Raw genomic sequence first — 25062 nt, 5'->3', positions numbered from 1 at the left:
AGGTTGCAATTAGCTGAGATTGCACCACTGCACTGCAACCTGGGCGACAGAGCCAGACTCCGTCTCCAAAAATAAAATAAAATAAAATAAAATAAAATATTAAAAGACTAGTTCTGGAAGGATAAATAAGAAAACAAAAGCCATGACCACCTCAAGAGAAGGACACCAATAACTCTGAAGGCCACAGCCAGGTCAGCGACCCCATCATCTTACCCACTCCCCAGCTAAGCAGAGCTGACTCTGCTTGCTTGTAGCTGCGGGAGCCTGGCAGAGGGCAGTAGCGCTCCCAGCCGCTGCCCACGTGCCTGTCAACTTGCCAGAGAGGAGTGCTCCAGCCAAGCAGCTGATTGGCTACAGGTTTTCTCAGATTGCCCAATCACAAGAGTTCTGATGAGGTGGATGTCCTGCGGCTGCGCAGAGTCCTTGAGGCATCCTAAGGGTAGGTTCTTGCATCCTAGTCTCCATGCCAGCTCACTGCGCCACAGAGGCTGAGGGACTGCAGAAATGGGCTTATGAGGGCAGATAGCCTTCCTTCCCGGGGGACACTGTTATTGCCAATAGCCCATTTTATGTGCTTATCCACCTTAGTTATTAACAGCCTAAATCTGGTGCTTTCTGGGGGAGACCAGGAGCCCCCATTACTCAATCTCACCTCGTTTTATCCCATTTCCTCCAAAGACTCCACTCCGACCACACAGAGTCTTTGCTGTTGTTCCCAGTGCCAAAAGCGTTCCCCAGATATCCAGATGGCTCACTCACTTCCTCCGGCCTTTACTCAAAGGACACCTCACTGAGGCCTTCCTATTTATTTATTTACTGAGACGGAGTCTCACTCTGTCGCCCAGGCTGGAGTGCAGTGGTGCTATATCGGCTCGCTGCAACCTCCACCTCCTGGGTTCAAGCAATTCTCGTGCCTCAGCCTCCCGAGTAGCTGGGATCACAGGAGCACGCCACCACGCCCCACTAATTTTTATTTATTTATTTATTTTTTGAGACAGAGTCTCGCTCTGTTGCTGAGGCTGGAGTGCAGTGGTGTTATCCTGGCTCACTGCAACCTCCGTCTCCCGGGTTCAAGCGATTCTCCTGCCTCAACCTCCCGAGAAGCTGGGATTACAGGCACCCACCACCATGCCCTGCTAACTTTGTATTTTTAGTAGAGACGGGGTTTCATCATGTTGGCCAGGCTGGTCTCGAACTCCTGACCTCAGGTGATCCGCAGGCCTCGGCCTCCCAAAGTGTTGGGATTACAGGCGTGAGCCACCGCGCCCTGCCCTATTTATTTATTATTACTATTTTTAGAAACAGGGTCTCACTCTGTTGCCCAGGCTGGAGTGCAGGGGTGCAATCATGGCTCGCTGTAGCCTCGACCTCCAGGGCTCAAGCGATCCTCCCGTTTCAGCCTCCCGAATAGCTGGGACTATGAGCATGCGCCATCATGCCCAGTTAATTTTTAAATTTTTTGTAGATAAGGGGGTCTCGCTATGTTGCCCAGGCTGGTCTCGAACTTCTGGCCTCCCAAAGTGCTGGGATTACAGGCATGAGCCACCGTACCGGCCCCCTTTCACTTTTTGTTTTTTTTTAATTCATTTTCTCATTTCAGCCGCTGGGGCCTGCGACTGGATTCATAGACTATGACTCCCAAGTCCAGCCTCCCGGGCCATTTCAAGGTTCCCAGGTCTGGAGTGCGTCTTGCCTCATTAGAGGCTGGGCCTGGCTCGTTATGAGGCGGGTCCCAGATCCTTCCGCCTTCCTATTGGCCCACCTCGCGTTGTGGGCGGGACCTATTACACCAGCTTTCTTGATTTGCTACCTCCCTGGAGCTCCCTGACCCGGACGCTCTCTGGGCCAATATGGCAGCGCCCAGCAACAAGACAGAGCTGGCCTGGAGTCCGCGGCTGGCCGCGTGAGTAGGTAGGTCGCGCGCGGGTAGGCGAACGCGAACTGCTGGGCTGCAGGCGGGCCCTTCAGGACCCGGCAGCGCGAGAGGGCAGCCCTGGAGGGACCCAGCTGCAGGGCCAGGGCGCCATGACCTTTCGTAGTGGGGGCGGGGACGCGCTGGGAAAGGCCGCCTGTCTTGTGCCAGCCGCCTCACGCCCCCAGTCTCCCATTTTGCAGATGACCTCGCGAGAGGTCACGCCGCAAGTCGGCAACCGGGCAGGATTTGGAATCCGCGTCTGCCTTTTTCCCCCAAGAGACCCAGAATCCTGGCAGCCGGTTTCAAAGCTGTTGTACGTACACCATACCTCGGGGTTCAGATTTATAGGTGTTTTTTTGAAATTGAGGCTTGTTTCCGTTCAGTTGTTACTCGTTAGGCATCTGTCATATACCAGGCACTGTCCTTGGTGCTGGAGACACAGCAATGAGGAAGATAGATAAAAATCTCTCATCTCCTGGGGGAACCAGACTTTGAACAAATTAGAAATAAACGAAACAGGTGATTTCAGATACTGATAAGTTACTAAAAATGCGTTAATGGTGTCGGGAATTTCGCTTGAGCCCAGGAGTTTCGAGACCAGCCTTGGCAACATAGCAAGACCCTGTTCTCTACAAAAAATTATCTGGGCGTAGTGGTGCACGCCTGTAGTCCTAGCTACTCGGGAAGCTGAGGTGGGAGGATTGCTTGAGCCCAGGAGGTTGAGGCTGTAGTGAGCCGTGATTGTGCCACTGCACCCCAGCCTGGGCAACAGAGCAGGACCCTGTCTCCGAAACAAAAATTAATAGGGTGATGAGGGCTTTTAGAATGTGGGGAATGGGAGATGGTCAAAGAAGACCTTTCATTGAAATGACCAGAGACAGCTGTGGGCAGATCTGGAGGAAGAAAGCTCTAGACAGAGAGAAAAGCAAGTACAAAGGTTCTGAGATGGGATAAACTTAGTTTCTTTCAGAAACAGTGTAGCTGAAGCTGCCAGTGGTAGGAGTTGAGTTTAGAGGGGTAGACCCTATCTGATTTTATTTATTTATTTTTATTTTTTAGAGACAGGATCTCACTTGTTCGTCAAGCCTGGAGTGCAGTGGTGCAGTGCACTCCATAGCTCACTGCAGCCTCAAACTCCATGGCTCAAGTGATTCTCCTGCCTCAGCTTTCCCAGTAGCTGGAACTACAGGTGCACACCACCAGGTCCAGCTAATTTTTTAAAATAATTTTTGTAAAGATCGTGTCCTGCTATGTTGTCCAGGCTGGTCTTGAACTCCTGGGCTCAAGCGATCCTCCCCACTTGGACTTCCAAAGCACTAGGATTATAGGCATGAGCCACTGCTCCCTGGCTATTTATTTATTTTTAGAGACAGGATCTCAGTATGTTGCCCAGGCTAGAGTGCAGTGGCTATTCACAAGTGCAGTCATGGTTCACTGCAACCTCTAACTACTGACCTTAAAGGATCCTCCAGCCTCAGTCTCCTGAGTACCTGAGATGACAGGCATTCACCACCATGCCTGGATAATTCTTAATTTTTTTGTAGAGATGGGGTCTCTCTATGTTGCCCAGGCTGGTCTTGAATCCCTGGGCTCAAGTGATCCTCCTACCTTGGTCTCCCAAAGTGTTGGGATTACAGGCATGAGCCAGTGTGCCCAGTCTCTGATTTTAAGTGTGATATGCCGTTAGCGATTTTAGGCAGAAATCACTAATTTTAGTTGATTTATTTATTTATTTAGCGATGGAATCTCGCTCTGTCGCCCAGACTGGGGTGCAGTGGCACAATCTTGGCTCATTGCAACCTCCACCTCCCAGGTTCAAGTGATTCTCCTGCCTCAGGCTCCCGAATAGCTGGGATTACAGGTGCCTGCCACCACACCTGGCTAATTTTTGTATTTTTAGTACAGACGGGCTTTCACCATCTCGGCCAGGCTGGTCTTGAACTGACCTTGTGATCCACCTGCTTCAGCCTCCCAAAGTGCTGGGATTACAGGCGTGAGCCACAGCGCCTGGCCTAATTTTAGTTTAAAAGCTCCCTCTGGCTGGGTGTGGTGGCTCACACCTGTAATCCTAGCACTTTGGGAGGCCAAGATGGGTGGATTGCTTGAACTCAGGAGTTCGAGACCACCCTGAGCAACATGATGAAACCCCATCTCTACTAAAATACAAAAAATTAGCTGGGTGTGGTGGCACACACCTGTAGTCCCAGCTACTCGGGAGGCTGAGGCATGAGAACCAACTTGAACTGGGGAGGCGGAGGTTGCAGTGAGCCGAGATGCGCCATTGCACTCCAGCCTGGGGAACAGAGTGAGACTCTGTCTCCAAAAAAAAAAAAAAAAAGCTCCCTCTGGCCATAGTGGGGAGAACTGACTGGAGGCAGGAAGGGCAAAAGTGGGAGGCTTGATAGGTATCCAAGTCATAGATTGAGGTGGTGGCTTCAGATAGAAAGAGATGCATTTGGGATGGATTTGGAAGTAGTCACCTAGACTAGTTGATGGATTGAATAGGAGAGTGAGGGACATAGTGGACTCAGAAATGTCTCCTAGGTTTGTAGCCTGAATGGCCAGTAGTAGTGGTGCGATTGGATAGGATGGAGAGGATCAAGTTTAAGCAAGGATATCAGTTTGGAGCAAATTATGTTTGAGATGGCTGGGTATATGCCAAAGTGGCAGTTAGGTATAAAGGCTGGGGCCCAGGGATTGAGGTGAACATTGGGGAGCCATCAGCACACAGATCACCACTTCTCAAACTTTAATGCTCACAGGAGATACCAGGGACTCGCTAAAATGCAGATTTGGGCCTGGCGCAGTGGCTCATGCCTGTAATCCCAGCACTTTGGGAGGCCAAGGCAGGTGGATCACAAGGTCAGGAGTTCAAGACCAGTCTGGACAAGATGGTGAAACCCTGTCTGTACTAAGAACGCAAAAATTAGCCAGGCATGGTGGCATGTGCCTGTAATCCCAGCTACTCGGGAGGCTGAGGCAGGATAATTGCTTGAACCCAGGATACGGAGGTTGCAGTGAGCCAAGATTGCACCACTGCACTCCAGCCTGGGCGACAGAGCAAGACTCCGCCTGGGAAAAAAAAAAATGCAGATTCCAGTTCAGTAGGTCTGGGATAGGGCCGAGATTTTGCTTTTTTTTTGAGATGGAGTTTCGCTCTTGTTGCCCAGGCTGGAGTGCAATGGTGTGCTCTTGGCTCACTACAAGCTCTGCCTCCCAGGTTCAAGCAATTCTCCTGCCTCAGCCTCCCAAGTAGCTGGAATTACAAGCATACACCACACCCGGCTAATTTTGTATTTTTTTTTTTTTTTTTTTGTTAGTAGAGACAGGGTTTCTCCATGTTGGTCAGGCTGGTCTCGAACTCCCGACCTCAGGTGATCAGCTGGCCTGGACCTCCCAACGTGCTGGGATTACACACGTGAGTCACCATGCCCGGCCAAATTTTGCTATTCTAATAAACTTCCAAATGTTGCTGACACTGCCAGTCCCTAGAACACACTTTAAGTAGCTGTAGTTTTTTTGTTTTTGTTTTTGTTTTTTTGTTTTGAGTCAGGGTCTTGCTGTGTTGCTCAGGCTGGAGTGTGTGGCATGAACTTGGTTTACTGTAGCTTGGACCTCCCAGGCTCATGTGATCCTCCCACCTCAGCCTCCCAAGGAATGAGAACACAGACAGGTGTATACTACCATGCCTGGTTAATTTTTAAATTTTTTTATAGAGACAGTGTCTGGCTATGTTGTCAGGGCTGGTATTGGACTCCTGGGCTCAACCAGTCCTCCCACCATGGCCTCCCAAAGTGCTAGGATTACAGGCATGAGCCACCGAGCCTGGCCCTGAAAATTTAAATTAAGGTCTTAATCCTAGGTGCATATGAAAGTCATTGCAGTGCTTTTTATGTTTATTTTTATTTATTTATTTTTTTTGAGATGAAGTTGCACTCTGTTGCCCAGGCTGGAGTGCAGTGGTGCAATCTCGGCTCACTGCAACCTCTGTCTCCCAGGTCCAAGTGATTCTCCTGCCTCAGCCTCCCTAGTAGCTGGGATTATAGGCGCCCGCCACCCTGTCCCGCTAATTTTTGTATTTTTAGTAGAGACGGGGTTTCACCATCTTGGCCAAGCTGGTCTTGAACTCCTGACCTTGTGATCCACCCGCCTTGGCTTCCCAAATTGCTGGGATTACAGGCATGAGCCACTGCGCCTGGCCAGAGTGCTTTTTATTTTTTATTTTTTTATTTTTGAGATAGGGTCTCACTCTGTCACCCAAGCCAGAGTGTGGTAGCACAATCATAGCTCATATAACCTTGAACTGCTGGGCTCAAGTGATCGTCCCACCTCAGCCTCCTGAGTAGCTGGGACTACAAATGAGTGCCACCACACCCAGCTGGTATTTTTTTTCTTTCTTTTTTTTTTTTCTTTTTGCTGTTCTTGATCTCCCGGGCTCAAGTGATCCTCCCACTCTGACTTCCCAAAGTGGATAAGAAGCATGAGCCGCTGTGCCCAGCCTTCAGTGGGGTGCTCTATTTATTTATTTATTTTTGAGACGGAGCCTTGCTGTGTCATCCAGACTGGAGTGCAGTGTGGCGCAATCTCGGCTGACTGTAAACTCCACCTCCTGGGTTCAAGCGATTCTCCTGCCTCAGCCTCCCGAGTAACTGGGACTACAGGCGCCTGCCACCACGCCCAGCTAATTTTTATACTTTTAGTAGAGATGGGGTTTCACAATGTTGGCCAGGATAGTCTCGATCTCTTGACCTCGTGATCTGCCCACCTCGGCCTCCCAAAGTGCTGGGATTACAGGCGTGAGCCACCCTGCCAGGCTACTTTTGACACCCCCAAAATCCAGCCAGGTGCAGTGGCTCACCTCTGTAATTCCAGCACTTTGGGAGGCCGAGGTGGGAGGATTGCTTGAGCCCAGGAGTTTGAGATCAGCCTGGAAAATAGAGGGAAACCCAGCCTCTATAAAAATTGTAAAAATTAGTTGAGTGTGGTGGCGCACACCTGTAATCCCAGCTACTCAGGAGGCAGTGGTGGGAGGATTGCTTGAGTTGGGAGGTCAAGTCTGCAGTGAGCCATGATCATACCACTGTACTCCAGCCTGGGCAACAGAGTGAGATCCTGTCTCAAAACAAAAAATCTTAACTACTAATAGCCCACTGTTGTCCAGAGGTCTCAGTGATTACATAACAGTCAATTAACTTATTTTTTTATGTGAGCCAAAGATTTATGTCTTCATTTCTTGCATTTGAAGTACTCTTGGATGACATCCTTGGCCTGAGACTCCTTGCCATAGTCCTTAACTACTACACAACTGCAACCAACCACTTTACAGGGTTTCCCTTCTCTCAATTTTACAGAGCGCTACCCATTCCCCTAGTTTCTTGTTGTCATCAACCTTAATTAAGTTGATTTGGTGCTCAGCACAAAGGGACTCCACCAGCTTGACATACATAGGCTTATCACAGTTGGATCAAGCACACAAAGATGGGCTTGGCGCTTGTCTAAGGCTTTGGCAGCTTCACAGATTCCACGTGCTAGGCCATCGTGGATGAGGGCGGTCTTCAGCACCTCTTGTAAAGCAGTATTAACATCCATTACACCTCCAGCAGCAATGCCTCCCTCGGCCATGGCAGTGGGTTATGGGTGAAGCTGAATCTTGAACATACCCAAGCCTCCGCCTCCGCGCAACTCGGCAGTGGCAGGGAAAGGGTGATTAACATATTTTTTAATGTTATATATATATATAATACTATAATCTTACAATAAGCTGAAGAAAAGAAAATGTTATTAAGAAAATCAGGAAAACACATTGAATTTACTATTCATTAGGTGGAAGTGGATCATCATAAAGGTCTTCATTCTCATCGTCTTCACATTGAGTAAGCTGAGGAGGAGGAGGAAGAGGAGGGGTTGGTCCTGCTGTCTTAGGGGTGGCAGAGGCAGAAGAGGTGGTGGAGGAGGTAGATGGAGAGGCAGGCACATTCAGCTGTAACTTTTTTTTCTTTCACTCTGTCACCCAGGCTGGAGTGCAGTGGTGGGATCTCAGCTCACTGCAAGCTCCGCCTCCCGGGTTCACACCATTCTCCTGCCTCAGCCTCCTGAGTAGCTGGGACTACAGGTGCCTGCCACCACGCCTGGCTATTTTTTTTGTATTTTTAGTAGAGATGGGGTTTCACCGTGTTAACCAGGATGGTCTCGATCTCCTGACCTCGTGATCCACCCGCCTCACCCTCCCAAAGTGCTGGGATTACAGGCGTGAGCCACCGTGCCCGACCTTTTTTCTTTTTACTAGCCCCTCAGTGTTTAAAGTTGTAACTTTTATTTAATTAAATTTAATTAATTAATTTTTTTGAGACAGAGTCTCACTCGGTCACCCAGGCTGGAGTGCAGTGGCGCGATCTCAGCTTACTGTAACATTGCCTCCCAGGTGCAAGCAATTCTCCCACCTCAGCCTCCTGAGTAGCTGGGATTACAGGCATGTACCACCATGACTGGCTAATTTTTTTTTTTTTTACCGGGGCGTTCCTGAGTTTACGTGGGGCACACCTGGGTGAGGGCCCTACCCCTAGAAGAAGGTGTTGGGCCTTTTGGTGGTGAAGCGTGGCTTGTGCTGATGGCGCAGGACCTGGTGGGGCAGCGGGAACTTGATCTTGGAGTCTTGGAACTGCTTGACGGCCAGCCGGTGGGACTTGCTGGCTGCTATCTCCTCCATCTTCATGATCTGGATGGAATGGGTCCAGGTGGGGTACCGGGCGCCCATGTCTCGGTAGCACTGGGTGACAGCGCCCGTGGTGGTCAGGTCCCAATATTCCTGGTACATGTTGTGGGTGCTGCTCTGGGAGTTTGTAGCGCAGCCAGATGCCGAAGTTCTTCACCCGCAGGCGGTACTTCTCGAATGCCTGCCCACAGTTGACAGTCTCCCCGAAGACTTCTTCATCTTCTTTAGCTGAGATACAAAGTACCAGAAGTGGGACTTGGCAACGACATGATCAGGTGCAAAGATTCGCATGTGGTAGAGGGGTGGTGTGTGGCATTTGGGAGTGAGCAGGCAGCAACCCACCACCTTGTACTCTTGTAGTGTGCCCGAGGCCTTCATGGCATCCTCTCCATGCTTGCCGCCACCGGCAAAAGGAGCCTGGCTAATTTTTGTATTTTTAGTAGAGATGGGGTTTTGCCACGTTGGTTGGTTGGTCTTGAACTCTTGACCTCAAGTGATTATCCTGCCTGGCCTCCCAAAGTGCTGGGATTACAGGCGTGAGCCACCACACCTGGTCTTATTCTTATTTTTCAGACAGAGTCTTCCTCTTTCGCCCAGGCTGGAGTGCAGTGGCACGATCTTGGCTCACTGCAGCTTCTGCCTCCTGGGTTCAAGTGATTCTCCTGCCTCCGCCTCCTGAGTAGCTGGGGACTGCAGGAGTGTGCCCCCAGCCTGGCTAATTTTTGTTTTTTTGTTTTTTTAGTAGAGATAGGGTCTCTCCCATGTTGGCCAGGCTGCTCTCGAACTCCTGGCCTCAGGTGATCTGCCTGCTTCGACCTCCCGAAGTGCTGTGATTACAGGCGTTAGCCACCACGTACAGCCATAACTTTTACTGAAAAAAAAAAAAAAAATCCACGTATAAATGGACTTATGCTGTTCAAGCCTTTGTTGATGAAGGGTCAACTGTACGTTGCCGATGGGAATGTGAAATGGTGCAGTCATCCCCAAAAACAGTCTGGCAGTTCCTAAAAATGTTAAACATGTAGTTACCATATGTCTCAGCAGTTTGACTCCTAAGTATATACCCAAGAGAAGTATAAACATGTGTTCACATAAAACTTCTACACGAATGTTCATGGCAGTAGTAGTTATAACAGTCAAAAACATTTGGCAAACAACCCCAAATGTCCATCAATTGATGAATGCATAAATAAAATATGGTTATAGCCATACAAAACCTGGTTATATTCCATTCCAAAAACAGTGGAATTGGCCGGGCATGATTGTAATCCTAGCAATTTGGGAGGCCAAGGTGGGTGGATCACTTGATGTCAGGAGTTCAAGACCAGCCTGGCCAACATGGTGAAACCCTATCTCTACTAAAAATACAAAAATTAGCTGGGTATGGTGGCGGGTGCCTGTAATCCCAGCTACTTGGGAGGCTGAGGCAGGAGAATCACTTGAACCCGGGAGGCAGAGGTTGCAGTGAGCCAAGATCATGCCATTGCAATCCAGCCTGGGCAACAAGAATGAAACTCCATCTCAAAAAAAAAAAAGCCCGGGTGCGGTGGCTCACGACTATAATCCCAGCACTTCGGGAGGCTGAGGCGGACGGATCACAAGGTAAGGAGTTTGAGACCAGCTTGGCAACATGGCGAAACCCCATCTCTACAAAAAAATCTATAAATTAGCTGGATGCAGTGGCACACACCTATAGTCCCAGCTACTCAGGAGGCTGAGGCAGGAGAATCGTGAGCCCGGAAAGCAGAGGTTGCAGTGAGCTGAGATTGTGCCACTGCACTCCAGCCTGGGAAACAAAGCAAGATCCTGTCTAAAAATAAAAATAATAAAAATTAAAAAAAAATCTATGCATGAACCTTGAAAACACGTCAGTGGGCCAGGTGCGGTGGCTCACGCCTGTAATCCCAGCACTTGGGGAGGCTGAGGCTGGCGGATCACTTGAGGTCAGGAGTTCGAGACCAGCCTGGCCAACGTGATAAAACCCCATCTCTACTAAAAATACAAAAATTAGCCGGGCGTGGTGGCATGTACCTGTAATCCCAGCTACTCGGGATGCTGAGGCATGGGAATCGCTTGAATCCGGGAGGCGAAGGTTGCAGTGAGCCGAGATGGCACTATTGCACTTCAGCCTGGGTGACAGAGCGAGACTGCATCTCAGAAAAAAAGAAAAAAGAAAAAAAACATGTCAAGTGAAGGAAACCAATCATAAAGGAGCACTTGTGATTCCAGATTCCATTTGTATGAAATGGCCGGCATAGGGAGATCTATAGAGACAGTGGATGAGTGGTTTCTTGGGGTTGGGAGTGAAGGGAAATTGAGTGCTAATGGGTACAGGGTTTCTTTCTTTTTTTTTTTTCTTCTTTTTTTTTTTTTCTGGAGATGGAGTTTTGCTGTTGTTCCCCAGGCTGAGGTGTAATGGCATCATCTTGGCTCACTGCAACCTCTGCCTCCTGGGTTCAAGCAATTCTCCTACGTCAGCCTTCCCAGTAGCTGGAATTACAGGCGTGCGCCACCATGCTCGGCTAATTTTTTGTATTTTTAGTAGCGATGGGGTTTCTCCATGTTGGTCAGGCTGGTCTCGAACTCCCAACTTCGAGTGATCCGCCCGCCTCAGCCTCCCAGAATGTTGTGATTACAGGCGTGAGCCACCGCGCCTGGCCAGGTACAGGGATTCTTGTTGGAGTGACACAGATTTTGTAAAATTAGATTGTAGTGGCTAGGAGTGCTGGCTCACACCCATGATCCCAGCACTTTTGGAGACAGAGATGGGAGGATCACTTGAAGCCAACAGTTCGAGACCAGCCTGGGCAACACAGCAAGACCCTGGGTCTCTGCAAACTATTTTCAAATTAGCTGGGCATGGTGGCACGCGTCTGTAGTCCCAGCTTCTCGACGCTCTGGGGCTGGAGGATCACTTGGGCCCAGAAGTTGGAGGCTGCATTGAGCTATGATCACGCCCCTGGGGCAGCAGGATTAGGGTGCTGTCCCAAGAACAAAGTCTTTGAGTCATCAGCCTGTTTCTTGGGTAAGGTAAACATTGGGGCTGGTGAGTGAGCCACATAATCTGGAGTGTGCCCTCGACCCTGCGGGGCCCTTGCGTCTGTTAGCATCTGTAAGGTGCCAGGCTAATGCTGAATCTTCTTTTGGGCCAGGTGATTGTCTGACAAGCAGAGGCATGAGCTGGGTCCAGGCCACCCTACTGGCCCGAGGCCTCTGTAGGGCCTGGGGAGGCACCTGCGGGGCCGCCCTCACAGGAACCTCCATCTCTCAGGTAAGCACCAGCCAGGCAGTCTTTTGGGTAGAGGGAGGTAAGCTTGGGATTTGCTCCCAACTCCTTCAGAATCCACTCTGTGAAGCCAGTTCTGGTGAGTCTGGGCTGGCCTATCAGTGCCGAGGTCCCATTAAAAGTCCTTAGTTTATGTATGTATGTATGTTTATGTGTTTGTTTTTTGAGACAGTGTCTCTGTCACCAAGGCTGGAGTGCAGTAGTGTGATTACAGCTCACTGTAGTCTTGACCTCCCAGGTTCAAGCAATCCTCCCGCCTCATCCTCCCAAGTACCCAGGACTACAGGCACATACTACCACACCCGGCTAGTTTTTGTATTTTTTTTGTAGAGACGGGGTTTCACCATGTTGGGCAGGCTGGTCTTGAACTCTGGGCTCAAGTGATCCACCTGCGTCAGCCTCCCAAAGTGCTGGGATTACAGGCGTGAGCCACCGCGCCTGGCCAAAAGTCCATAATTTATTTATTTTTTTGAAACAAGGTCTTGCTCTATCACCCAGGCTGGAGTACAGTGGTGGAATCAGGGCTCACTGCAGCCTCAAACTCCTGGGCTCAAATGAGCCTCCCACCTCAGCCCCCTGAGTAGCTGGGATCACTGATTTGAGCCACCATGCCCAGCTAATTTTTTTTTTTTTAGATGGAATTTTGCTCTTGTCGCCAAAGCTGGAGTGCAGTGGCGTGGTCTTGGCTCACTGCAACCTCTGCCTCCTGGGTTCAAGTGATTCTCCTGCCTCAGCCTGCCGAGTAGCTGTGATTACAAGTGCACATCACCACGCCCAGCTAATTTTTGTAATTTTAGTAGAGACGCGGTTTTGCCATGTTGGCGAGGCTGGTCTCAAACTCCTGACCTCAGGTGATTCACCCGCCTCGGCCTCCCAGAGTGCTGGGATTACAGGCATAAGCCACCGCACCCGGCCGCTAATTTTTTTTTTTTTTAAGTATATGGTCTTGTTGTGTTGCCCAGACTGGTCTTGAACCTCTGGGCCCTCAGTCCTTCCACTTTGGCCTCCCAAAGTGCTAGGATTACAAGTGTGAGCCACTGTGCCTGGACCCTAATTTAAGAGATGCTAGTGCCTACGTGGGTGAGGGGATTGACTTTGAAAATAAGGATGTATGAGCTCGGTGGATTTGTGTGGTGACTGTGAGCAGCTCCTCCTGCATCTACTTGTGAAGATGGGGCAGAAAACTGAATTTCTTTCCTATACCCATAGTGACCAGATGGCGAAAGCAGATTGACAGCCATAGATAGCAATAACGATGATGGTGGGAATATTAATAGTTCCCATATTGAGCACTTACTCTGTGCCCGGCCCCGCACTATGCATTTCATTTACATTACCTCCTTTGCAGTGTTTCCCCCTCGTTAGGCATTTTAGAGCTTCCTTTCTGATTTTTACCCCAAAGTGGTACAATACTACACCACCTATATTATTAATTGACTGAAATTTCAGTTGTTTTTTGTTTTTGAGATGGAGTCTCCCTCTGTCACCCAGGCTGGAGTGCAGTGGCGTGATCTCAGCTCATTGCAACCTCTGCCTCCCGGGTTCAAGTGATTTTCCTGCCTCAGCCTCCTGAGTAGCTGGGATTACAGGTGTGCGGCACCACACCTGGCTAATTTTTGCATTTTTGGTAGAGATGGGGTTTCACCATGTTGGCCAGGCTGGTCTCAAACTCCTGACCTCAAGTGATCCACCCGCCTCTCAAAAGTGCTGGGATTACAGGCACGAGCCACTGCGCCCAACCTGAAATTTTACTGTAAATGAATGCCTTTTTTTTTTTTTAACATTGCCTTATCAAAGAACGATATGGGATGGCTGTGGGGACCGCAGAGTAGGGGGACTGAGGGCACTGACTCCATTCTCAGCTCTGATGCTTTGCAGCTGTGTAACACTGTGCATCCCACTTCATCTTCCTGAGCCTTGGTTTTTCTCATCTGTAAAATGAGTGCAGTAAGAGTACCCCCCACCTAGGGCCTCACATTTGTAAAGTGCTCAACTGTGTCTACAGTGGAAGAATATTTGGTAAATATTGTCTCTTTCTTTTGAGATAGGGTCTCGCTCTGTTGCCCATGCTGGAGTGTAGTGGCGTGATCTTGGCTCACTGCAACCTCGACCCGCCAGTCTCAATTGATCTGCCTACTTCAGCCTCCTGAGTAGCTGGGACTACATACATTCACCACCATGCCTGGCTAATTTTTGTATTTTTTTGTAGACATGAGGTTTCAGCAGGTTGCCCAGGCTGGTCTCAAACTCCTGACCTCAGGTGATCTGCCCGCCTCAGCCTCCCAAAGTGCTAGGATTACAGGTGTGAGCCACCGAGCCTGGACTAATATTGGCTCTTACTTGTTAGCGTTTTGTGTGTGTGTGTGTGTGTGTGTAGATAAACACACACACATTCATTTATTTTTTAGAGATAAGGTTTTACTCTCTCGTTCAGGTTGGAGTGCAGTGACACAATCATAGCTCACTGCAGCCTGGGATTCCTGGGCTTAAGCAGTCCTCCTGCTTCAGCCTCCTGAGTAGCTGGGACTACAGGTATACACCACCACGCCCCGCTTATTTTTTTATTTTTTCATAGAGAGATGGAGTCTCACTATGTTGCCCAGGCTGCAATGCGGTGGTGCAATCAAAGCACAGTACAACCTTGATAACTAGCTGTATATTTTTAAGATGCCTTATATGTAACCCTTCTAATTTAAAAATTCAATTTAAAATAAGAAATTTGTTACTGTGTCATCTAGAACCAGAATTTGGCTACTCTGGAGGCTGAGGTGGGAGGATCACTTGAGCCCAGGAGTTCTGGGCTGTTGTGCACTATGCTGATGGAGTGTCCTGCACTAAGTTTTGCTTAATATTGTGACCTCCTGGGACTTGGGGGACCACCAGGTTGCCTAAGGAAGTGTGAACTGACCCAGGTTGGAAACAGCAGGTCAAAACTCCTGTGCTGACCAGTTGGCTCATGCCTGTGAATAGCCACTGCACTCCCGCCTGGGCAACATAGCTAGACTCCATCTCTTAAAGGGTCCCAGCACTTTGGGAGGCCACGGTGGGTGGATCACCTTAGGTCAGGAATTCGAGACCATCCTGGCCAACATGGTGAAACCCCGTCTCTACTAAAAACACAAAAATTAGGCCGGGCATGGTGGCTCACATCTGTAATCCCAGCACTTTGGGAGGCCGAGGTGGGCGGATCACAAGGTCAGGAGTTCAAGACCAGCCTGGCCAACATGGTGAAACCCTGTCTCTACTAAAAATACAAAAGTTAACTGGGCATGGTGGCATGTGCCTGTAATCCCAGCTACTTGGGAGGCTGAGGCAGAAGAATTGCTTGAACCAGGGAGTCAGAGGTTATAGTGAGCTGAGATCGTGTGACTGCACTCCAGCCTGGCAACAGAGCGAGACTCCATCTCAGGAAAAACAAACAAACAAAACATAAAAATTAGCTGGGCATGGTGGCAGGCGCCTGTAATCCTAGCTACTTGGGAGGCTGAGGCAGGAGAATCGCTTGAACCCACAAGGCAGAGGTTGCAGTGAGCTGAGATGACACCATTGCATTCCAGCCTGGGCGACGAGTGAAACTCTGTCTCAAGAAAAAAAGAAAAAGAAAGAAGGGGCTGGGTACAGTGGCTCATGCCTGTAATCTCAAGACTTAAGGTGGCTACGCCGGGCGCGGTGGCTCATGCCTGTAATCCCAGCACTTGGGAGGCCAAGGCGGGCGGATCACGAGGTCAGGAGATCGAGACCATCCTGACTAACACAGTGAAACCCCGTCTCTACTAAAAATCCAAAAAATTAGCTGGGCGTGGTGGCAGGCGCCTGTAGTCCCAGCTACTCAGGAGGCTGAGGCAGGAGAATGGCGTGAACCCGGGAGGTGGAGCTTGCAATGAGCCGAGATCGCGCCACTGCACTCCAGCCTGGGTGACAAAGCGAGACTCTGTCTCAAAAAAAAAAAAAAAAAGACTTGGGGAGGCTGAGGCAGGTGGATCACTTGAGGCCTGGAGTTTGAGACCAGCCTGGCCAACATGATGAAACCCCATCTTTACTAAAAATACAAAAATTAGCAGGGCGTGGTGGAGCACGTCTGTAGTCCAGCTTACTTGGGAGGCTGAGGCATGAGAATCGCTTGAACATGGGAGGCAGAGGTTGCAGTGGGCTGAGGTCACGCCACTGCGCTGCAGCATGGGTGACAGAATGAGACTCTGTCTAAAAAAAAAAAAAAAAAATTACAAGCAAAAAGGGCCACCAGGCACAGTGGCTCATGTCTGTAATCCCAACACTTTGGGAGGTGGAGACGGGATGATCACTTGAAGCCAGGCGTTCAAGACCAACCTGGGCAAAATAGTGCGACTCCCGTCTCTGCTGAAAATTTAAAAATTAGCCAGGTGTGGTGGTGTACACCGGTAGTTCCAGCTGCTGGACAGGGTGAGGAGGAGAATTGCTTGAGCCCAGGAGTTGAAAGCTGCAGTAAGCCACAGTAGCACCACTACATTCCAGCCTAGGCCACAGAGCCAGACCCCGTCTCAAAAAAAAACCAAAAAAAAAAACCCAAAAAAAAACCGGCATGTGTGTGTCATCACTGTGAATATTACCAAGTTGCCTCCGTGGCAGTTTTTACCAGCTCCCCGTAGCCATGGCTAACAGTGCCTGTTTCCTCCCTACTGTGCCAGCATTGTGTTTTATCGCACTTTGTAATGGCCTCGAATCTTGGGTTTGTAACCACAGTTCCATACCTCCGAGTCCTCAGGGAGGCCACTGGGACCTCTCTGAGGAAAGAGCCAGCCTGGCGGCCCCCCATAGACACTGAGAGGTGCCAGATTCCAGCAGTTCTCCTCCCTCCCCAGGTCCCTCGCCGGCTCCCTCGGGGCCTCCACTGCAGCGCAGCTGCCCATAGCTCTGAACAGTCCCTGGTTCCCAGCCCACCGGAACCCCGGCAGAGGCCCACCAAGGCTCTGGTGCCCTTTGAGGACCTGTTTGGGCAGGCGCCTGGTGGGGAACGGGACAAGGCGAGCTTCCTGCAGACGGTGCAGAAATTTGCGGAGCACAGCGTGCGTAAGCGGGGCCACATTGACTTCATCTACCTGGCCCTGCGCAAGATGCGGGAGTATGGTGTCGAGCGGGACCTGGCTGTGTACAACCAGCTGCTCAACATCTTCCCCAAGGAGGTCTTCCGGCCTCGCAACATCATCCAGCGCATCTTCGTCCACTACCCTCGGCAGCAGGAGTGTGGGATTGCTGTCCTGGAGCAGATGGAGAACCACGGTGAGGCCAGGAGGCTGGCGCAGGGTGGGGAGTGGGCTACACTGATAGCTGGCAGCACCTCTCCTGAGTCTCAGCCCCTCCTTCCTCCATGGCTCCGTCTCTGTCTCTCTCGCTCTTCTCCCTCTCCGAATCCCTCTTTTCATCACTCATCTCTCTTTCTTGCCTCCCTCTGACCTCCCCTCCCCTCCCCCCTCCCTCCCTCTCCTCCCCCCACTCTCCTCTCTTCTCCTCTCCTCCCTGCCTCTCTCTCCCTCCCTTCCTTCCTCTCTTTCTCTCTTTCTTTTAGAAATGGGGTCTCACTATGTTGCCCAGGCTGCTCTCAAACTCCTGGACTCAAGTGATCCTCTCCCCTTGGCCTCCCAATGTGCTGGGATTACAGGCATGAGCCTTTTTCTTTCTAATTCTCTCTGATTCTTTTCTCCCTGTCTGTGATCAATTCCCTCACTTCACTGTTTTCTTTTCTCCTCTTCCCTTCCCTCCTCCCCCTCCATCTCTGAGGTTCTGCCTGCATCTGCCCAGCACAGGTGTGATGCCCAACAAGGAGACGGAGTTCCTGCTGATTCAGATCTTTGGACGCAAAAGCTACCCCATGCTCAAGTTGGTGCGCCTGAAGCTGTGGTTCCCTCGATTCATGAACGTCAACCCCTTCCCAGTGCCCCGGGACCTGCCCCAGGACCCTGTGGAGCTGGCCATGTTTGGCCTGCGGCACATGGAGCCTGACCTTAGTGCCAGGGTCACCATCTACCAGGTATCCGCCCTTGTCTACAGCGTCAGCTGCCACCCCAGGCCAGGCTCCCGCCATTCCTCCCCTGGGCTCCCCTTCTCTCACTCTAGTGATTGTGGTGAATCAAGTTCTTTTTTGAGACAGGGTCTTGCTCTGTTGCCCAGGCTGGAGTGTGGTGGCACTATCTCGGCTCACTGCAGCCTCTGCCTCCCAGGCTCAAGCGATCTTTCCACCTCAGCCTCCTGAGTAGCTGGGACTCCAGTCACACACCACTATGCCTGGCTAATTAAAAAAACTGTTTTTTTTTTTCAGAGACAGGGTCTCACTATATTGCCCAGGCTGGCCTTGAACTCCTGGGCTCAAGCAATCCTCCTGCCTCGGCCTCCCAAAGTGCTGGGATTACAGGCATGAGGCACTGTGCCTGGCCGTGAATTGAGTTCTGATTCTCTGGCTGAGTCCCCTGGTAGGTTCCCATGGTCCTTACTGCTAGCACAGCTTGAGTGACCTCTGCTTCAGTCCGTTCAGGCTGCTCTAACAAAATCTCTTAGCTTGGGTCATTGATGAACAACAAAAATTTATTGCTCACAGTTCTAGAGGCTGGGAAGTCCAAGATCAAGGTGCCACCAGATCTAGGTCTGGTGAGGGTTTGCTCTCTGCTTCAAAGATGACACCTTGCTGTGTCCTCACATAATATAAGGGGCAAACAAGCCCCTCAGACCTCTTCATATTTTTTTTGAGACAAGGTCTGGCTCTGTTGCCCAGGCTGGAGCGCAGTAGCACTATCTTGGCTCACGGCAAATTCCACCTCCCAGGCTGAAGCCATCCTTTCACCTCAGCCTCCCAAGTAGCTGGGACTACAGTCGTACACCACCACGCCCGGCTAATTTTTGTATTTCTTGTAGAAATGGGGTTCCACCATGTTGCCCAGGCTGGTCTCAAACTCGTGAGCTCAAGCGATCCACCCACCTTAGCCTCCCAAAGTACTGGGATTGCAAGCATGAGCCACCATGCCTGGCCCCCTCAGACCTTTGTTTGTTTGTTTTTTTTTTGAGATGGAGTCTCGCTCTGTCGCCAGGCTGGAGTGCTGTGGCGCCATCTCAGCTCACTGCAACTCTGACTCCCGGGTTCAAGCGATTCTCCTGCCTCAGCCTCCCAAGTAGCTGGGATTACAGGCATGCACCACCAGGCCCAGCTAATTTTTGTATTTTTAGTAGAAACGGGGTTTTACCATGTTGGCCAGGCTGGTCTTGATCTCCTGACCTCATGATCTGCCCACCTCGGCCTCCCAAAGTGCTGGGATTACACGCGTGAGCCACTGTGCCCGGCCAAGACCTTTTTTATAAGGGGACTAATCTCATTCATGAAGGCAGAGCCCTTATGATCTAAGTGCCTCTCCTCTCAAAGGCCTGACCTCTTAATCCTATTGCATTGTAGATAGATTGCAACATATGAATTTCAGGGGGCCATAAACATTCAGACCATAGCACCCTCCCATCCTTCTCCCAACACTTGCTACATTCTAGGCATCTTCCTTATTTTCTGTGCCAATTCTCACCACAGGGCTTTGCGTTCTCTGTTCCTTCTGCCAGGAACACTGTTCCCCATGGACTTCATGTTATTCCGGTCTCAGCTCCACTGTTCCTAATCAGGATGCCCTTCCTGACCTCCCTGGCCAAGGCACCACCCCTTCACCGTGCTTGGCTTGGTTCCTCATTCACCATGACTCAGTCTCCCTCCTGTCTCCCAAGGCTGAGCACAGGATTTGGTGCAAAGCTGACACTTGGCAGTGGTTTGTTGAATGACTGAGTGGAGTAACACCCTCAACTCAGTGTCCTGGGAGCCCCCACTCATGCCAGATCACACAAGGGATCCAAAGAGAGCCCCTCACAGCACTTGTCATGTGGTCCTGGACAGATAACAGTTTCCTTAAGAGCCAGTGGTTCTGAGATGGAGAAGCCCGGGGTGCTGTGGGAGCCGAGTGGGCAGGTGGGGCTTCCTGGGGGAGGTAAGGAGAGCAGAGGACGCTGGGCAGAGGGAGCAGTGTGTACCAGGAAATGCGGTGCAGTGAGTGGGGGCACCTGATTAAAGAGCTTGATCTCAAACCTCTTGGTTGGTGGGGAGAGCTATGCCGGGGGTGGGGGGGCAGAGATTTAAGAAGAAGGAATCGGGTTGGAATCATGTTTCTGGAAGAATCTGCAATTGGAAACGTGTCTCCTGGCAGCCGTGTGGATGCTGTTGGATGGGGAGAGGGGCTAGGGGACCAGGGTCGTGGGTCCAGGTGAGAGATGGCTTGAGACCAGCAGCAGAATGTGGGGGGGAGGGTTGTTTTTAGTTCATTTCTTCATTTTGCAAAGCAATGCACTAAAAAGCCAAACAGCATGTAAAAGCACACAGTGACGAGTCCTCTGCTTCTACCCAGGCCCCGTGCGCTGCCCCTGACGCCGCCCGTCTCCCTCCCCAGAGGTGACTATTTCCATGTCTCCTTCCAGAGAGGTTCTATACATTTGCAAGCAGATCTCTCTCTCTCTCTCTCTTTTTTTTTTTGGCATCTGTATCCTTTGTATTTAAATATCCTTCTCCCCCGTCTTATGGAGTAAAATACAGCCAGGCACAGTGGCTCATGCCTGTAATCCCAGCACTTTGGGAGGCTGAGGCAGATGGATTGCTTGAGCCCAGGAGTTCGAGACCAGCCTGGGCAACATGGCAAGACCCCATCTCTACCAAAAAAATACGAAAATTAGCTGGGAGTGGTGGTGCACACCTGTAGCCCCAGCTACTCAGGAGGCTGAGGCAGGAGGGTGGCTTGAACTCAGGAAGTCAAGTCTGTAGTGAGCCGTGATCATACCACTGCACACCAGACTGGGTGACAGAGCAAGATCCTGTCTGTTTAAAAAAAAGAAGTTCTTTAGCCAGGCATGGTGGCTTACGCCTGTAATCCCAGCACTTTGGAAGGCCGAGGCAGGCAGATCACCAGAGGTTGGGAGTTCGAGACCAGCCTGACCAACATGGAGAAACCTCGTCTCTACTAAAAATACAAAAAGAATTATCCAGGCATGGTGGTGCATGCCTGTAATCCTAGCTACTTGCGAGGGTGAGGCAGGAGAATCACTTGAACCCAGGAGGTGGAGGTTGCAGTGAGCCGAGATCGCGCCATTGCACTCCAGCCTGGGCAACAAGAGCGAAACTCCATCTCAAAAAAAAAAAAGTTTCTTTAGTAGCAGGGCATTATATACATGTACCTTGCCTTTTACAAATTTCATTTAATACAACTAGAAGTCACTGATCCATCTCAAATTTTTTTGTTGTTTTTTTGAGACAGAGCCTTGCTCTGTCGCCCATGCTGGAGTGCAGTGGCACAATCTCGGCTCACTACAACCTCCTCCTCCCAGGTTCAAGCAATTCTTGTGCCTCAGCCTCCCATGTAGCAGGGACTACAGGCGTGTGCCACCACGCCTGGCTAATTTTTGTATTTCTAGTAGAGACGGGGTTTCACCATGTTGGCCAGGCTGGTCTTGAACTCCTGGCCTCAAGTGATCCACCACCCTCGGCCTCCCAAAGTGCTGGGATTACAGGCATGAGCCACTGCGCCCGGCCTGCTCATCTCAATTTTTTTTAACTTGAAAGGATGAATGATATATGTTCTAATAGCTGTCCACTGTTTTGTTTCAAAAGCAAGTGCATTTTGTTAAAAAAAAAAAAACTTTGTCAGCGGGGCGCAGTGGCTTATGCCTGTAATCCCAATGCTTTGGGAGGCTGAGGCAGGTGGATCACCTGAGGTTGGGAGTTTGAGACCAGCCTGACCAACATGGAGAAACCCTGTCTCTACTAAAAATACAGACATTAGCCAGACGTGGTGGTGCATGCCTGTAATCCCAGCTACTCGGGAGGCTGAGGCAGCAGAATCACTTGAACCCAGGAGGTGGAGGTTGCGGTGAGCTGAGATCAAGCCCCATTGCACTCCAGCCTAGGCAACAAGAGCGAAACTCTGTCCCAAAAAAAAAAAAAAAAAATTGTCTAGTGTTTTTGAATTATGTTCAAGGTATAAAATTTTAAAAGATAAAAAAGGTATTCCTTCCCACCCTGTCCTCCACAGAGGTGAAAGCTATCATTTGCTTCTAGTGTCTCCTTCCTGGGATATTCTGTATATGTGAAGTTATTTTTCTTTTTTTAATTCACAAGCACTGAGCACTTATTATTTGCCAGGGACTGTGCTACATATTTTACAACCACCCAAAGTTAGGTTCATGCCCATAATCCTAGTGCTTTGGGAGGCCAAGGCAGGCGGATCACCTGAGGCCAGGAATTTGAGACCAGCCAGGCCAACATAGCAAAACCCTATCTCTACTAAAAATACAAAAAATTAGCCGGGCATGGTGGCAGGCGCCTGTAGTCCCAGCTACTTGGGAGGCCGACGCAGGAGAATCGCTTGAACCCAGGAGGCGGAGGCTATAGTGAGCCGAGATCATGCCATTGCACTCCAGCCTGGGTAATGAGCAAAACTCCATTTCAAAAATTAAAAAAATAAAATTAGCCAGGCATAGTGGTGTGCACCTGTAGACCCAGCTACTTGGGAGACTGAGGTAGGAAGATCACTTGAGCCCAGGAGTTCAAGGCTACAGTGAGCTATGATCATGCCACCATTCTCCAGCATGGATGACAGAGAGGGAGACCCCCATCCCTAAAAAAAAAAAAAAAATCGGAATTAAGTGCTGTTATCATCCCTATTGTGCATCTGGAGAAACTGAGGCACACAGGTACAGTGACTTGGCCAAGGTCACACAGCTTGTGACAGAGCCAGGATTTTGACAAAGGTGGGCTGGTTCTAGGGTAGTTCCCTCAGGGTGAGCATCCTAAAGATTGGTGGTTATTGCCAAATGGGACAGAGGGAGGAGGGGACAGGTTGGAGGGCCGTGTACCAGATCCAGGAGAGGTGTCCTGAATTCCCTGGTATCCCCCTTTCTGTTTCTCTGTCCCCAGTTCCTCTGTAGGGGATTGGGGGTTACAAGATTATATCCCTACTCTCCCTTGCAGGTTCCTTTGCCCAAAGACTCAACAGGTGCAGCAGATCCCCCCCAGCCCCACATCGTAGGTAAGTCCGAGAGCATGGGGGCAGCCAAGTCTCTAACCTTACCCAGGCCCTGCCAGGTTCTCGCTGGGCCTAGGCTGGGCTCCCTGGGCCTCTGGGCCGAGTCCCTTGCAGGGCACAGGGCATGTATGTCTCCACACCAGGAATCCAGAGTCCCGATCAGCAGGCCGCCCTGGCCCGCCACAATCCAGCCCGGCCTGTCTTTGTTGAGGGCCCCTTCTCCCTGTGGCTCCGCAACAAGTGTGTGTATTACCACATCCTCAGAGCTGACTTGCTGCCCCCGGAGGAGAGGGTGAGGGCTTAAAGCAAAGCATGTGTTGGGGCTGGGGAGTGGGCTGGCACTACCCTGAGGGTGCATGGGAGAGGCTGGAGGAGGGAGACCGAGAGAGCCCTGGCCTCTGACCCCGCCTGCACTCCCCACCTTGGAGTAGGAAGTGGAAGAGACGCCGGAGGAGTGGAACCTCTACTACCCGATGCAGCTGGACCTGGAGTATGTGAGGAGTGGCTGGGACAACTACGAGTTTGACATCAATGAAGGTAAAAACTGGGCCAGGTGCGGTGGCTCACATGTGTGCTCGTAATCCCAGCCCTCCTACAGGCTGAGGTGGGAGGATCACTTGAGCCCAGGAGTTGAGGTTGCAGTGAACTATTATAGAGCCACTGCACTCCAGCCTACATGATAGACCCTGTGTCAAAAAAAAAAAAAAAAAAGGCAAAAACCTGGACAGGCAGGACTTCCAAACATTCCAAACACCACCCAGGATGAGGGGCGGCCTCTGGGGTCAAGGGGTAGGCCCAGGCTGAGACGCAGTCCACTTACACCCTCGTCCTCCGGCCGCACACACTCATTTGCCCCAGGGGCTCCAGACCTGAGGTCACCCAGCCCTGTTGGCCCTTGTTCATTCCCTCCCTCCTACAACTCTGTGCTGGCTACTGGGTGTCACCAGGACAAACCTAGTCCCTCGAGTCAGCAAGGGAACAGGCAAATTACACTTTGGGGAGCTTAGGAGAGGAGCATGCCTTGAGTGGGGGGTCAGGAGGCCTTCCTGGCAGAATACAGAAAAACCAGGAGTCATCGCCCGGGTGAAGTGTGGAGTGGGCAGCCTAGGCAGCGGGGCTAGCTTGTGCAAAGGTTTGGAGGCACAAGAAAGTGGAAGGAAGCCGGGCACAGTGGCTCACGCCTGTAATCCCAGCACTCTGGGAGGCTGAGGCGGGTAGATCATTTGAGGTCAGGAATTCGAGACCAGCCTGGCCAACATGGTGAAACCCCATCTCTACTAAAAATTTAAAAATTAGCCCGGCGTGGTGCTGTGCACCTGTAATCCCAGCTCCTCGGGAGGCCGAGGCAGGAGAATCACTTGAACCTGGGAGGCGGATGTTGCAGTGAGCCGAGATCTCGCCACTGCACTCCAGCCTGGGTGACACAGCGAGACTCCGTCTCAAAAAAAAAAAAAAAAAAAAAAAGGAAGTGGAAGGGAGTGTAAAATACCTCAAAAAGGTGTAGGCATGGGTTAGCCGCTGCAGCCCCCACTGTGCAAACCTTAAGGGTGCATGTCTTCCAACAGTGGAGGAAGGCCCTGTCTTCGCCATGTGCATGGCGGGTGCTCATGACCAGGCGACGATGGCTAAGTGGATCCAGGGCCTGCAGGAGACCAACCCAACCCTGGCCCAGATCCCCGTGGTCTTCCGCCTCGCCGGGTCCACCCGGGAGCTCCAGACATCCTCTGCAGGGCTGGAGGAGCCGCCCCTGCCCGAGGACCACCAGGAAGAAGACGACAACCTGCAGCGACAGCAGCAGGGCCAGAGCTAGTCTGAGCCGGCGCGAGGGCACGGGCTGTGGCCCGAGGAGGCGGTGGACTGAAGGCATGAGATGCCCTTTGAGTGTACAGCAAATCAATGTTTTCCTGCTTGGGGCTCTCTTCCCTCATCTCTAGCAGTATGGCATCCCCTCCCCAGGATCTCGGGCTGCCAGCGATGGGCAGGCGAGACCCCTCCAGAATCTGCAGGCGCCTCTGGTTCTCCGAATTCAAATAAAAAGGGGCGGGAGCGCTGTTGGTTGTGCGCATGCGCAGTTTCCATTCTT

The 25062-nt window shown here is 51.0% G+C and overlaps 1 protein-coding gene and 3 pseudogenes across 4 annotated transcripts, besides 2 other annotated features; 2 read left to right on the top strand and 2 right to left on the bottom strand.

Annotated features, from left to right (window-relative positions):
* Nucleotides 1-1838: 1838 nt before the first annotated feature.
* On the top strand, nucleotides 1839-25044 carry ECSIT (ECSIT signaling integrator). 4 transcript variants are annotated; one of them, NM_016581.5, is made up of 8 exons: nucleotides 1839-1911; nucleotides 11780-11898; nucleotides 16752-17169; nucleotides 17694-17917; nucleotides 22925-22982; nucleotides 23123-23271; nucleotides 23411-23516; nucleotides 24545-25044. In NM_016581.5, exons 2-8 carry the CDS (start codon nucleotides 11803-11805, stop codon nucleotides 24787-24789), a joined length of 1296 nt encoding a protein of 431 aa, NP_057665.2. In that variant the 5' UTR covers nucleotides 1839-1911; nucleotides 11780-11802; the 3' UTR covers nucleotides 24790-25044. The 4 variants fall into 4 exon arrangements, with proteins under 4 accessions (NP_057665.2, NP_001135936.1, NP_001135937.1 ...); NM_001243204.2 differs by lacking the exon at nucleotides 1839-1911 and adding an exon at nucleotides 2108-2228 and having other exon boundaries at nucleotides 23244-23271; NM_001142464.3 differs by lacking the exon at nucleotides 23123-23271.
* On the bottom strand, nucleotides 7120-7617 carry RPS12P32 (ribosomal protein S12 pseudogene 32; annotated as a pseudogene).
* On the bottom strand, nucleotides 8423-9042 carry RPL18AP13 (ribosomal protein L18a pseudogene 13; annotated as a pseudogene).
* RN7SL833P (RNA, 7SL, cytoplasmic 833, pseudogene) lies at nucleotides 14643-14926 on the top strand (annotated as a pseudogene).
* Nucleotides 22739-23516: an enhancer, noted in NCBI's record as "H3K4me1 hESC enhancer chr19:11618272-11619049 (GRCh37/hg19 assembly coordinates)". NCBI's record gives its function as "activates a minimal SCP1, AML or CMV promoter by ChIP-STARR-seq in naive and primed H9 embryonic stem cells {active_cell/tissue: H9 hESC(naive and primed)}" and the evidence as "EXISTENCE:reporter gene assay evidence [ECO:0000049][PMID:30033119]".
* Nucleotides 24939-24988: a silencer, noted in NCBI's record as "silent region_10116". NCBI's record gives its function as "represses an Ori minimal core promoter by ATAC-STARR-seq in GM12878 lymphoblastoid cells {active_cell/tissue: GM12878}" and the evidence as "EXISTENCE:reporter gene assay evidence [ECO:0000049][PMID:35858748]".

Source organism: Homo sapiens, chromosome 19 (assembly GCF_000001405.40).
Source record: "Homo sapiens chromosome 19, GRCh38.p14 Primary Assembly".
NCBI classification, from domain to species: Eukaryota; Metazoa; Chordata; class Mammalia; order Primates; family Hominidae; genus Homo; species Homo sapiens.
This window is presented reverse-complemented; position numbering and strand designations above follow the sequence as displayed.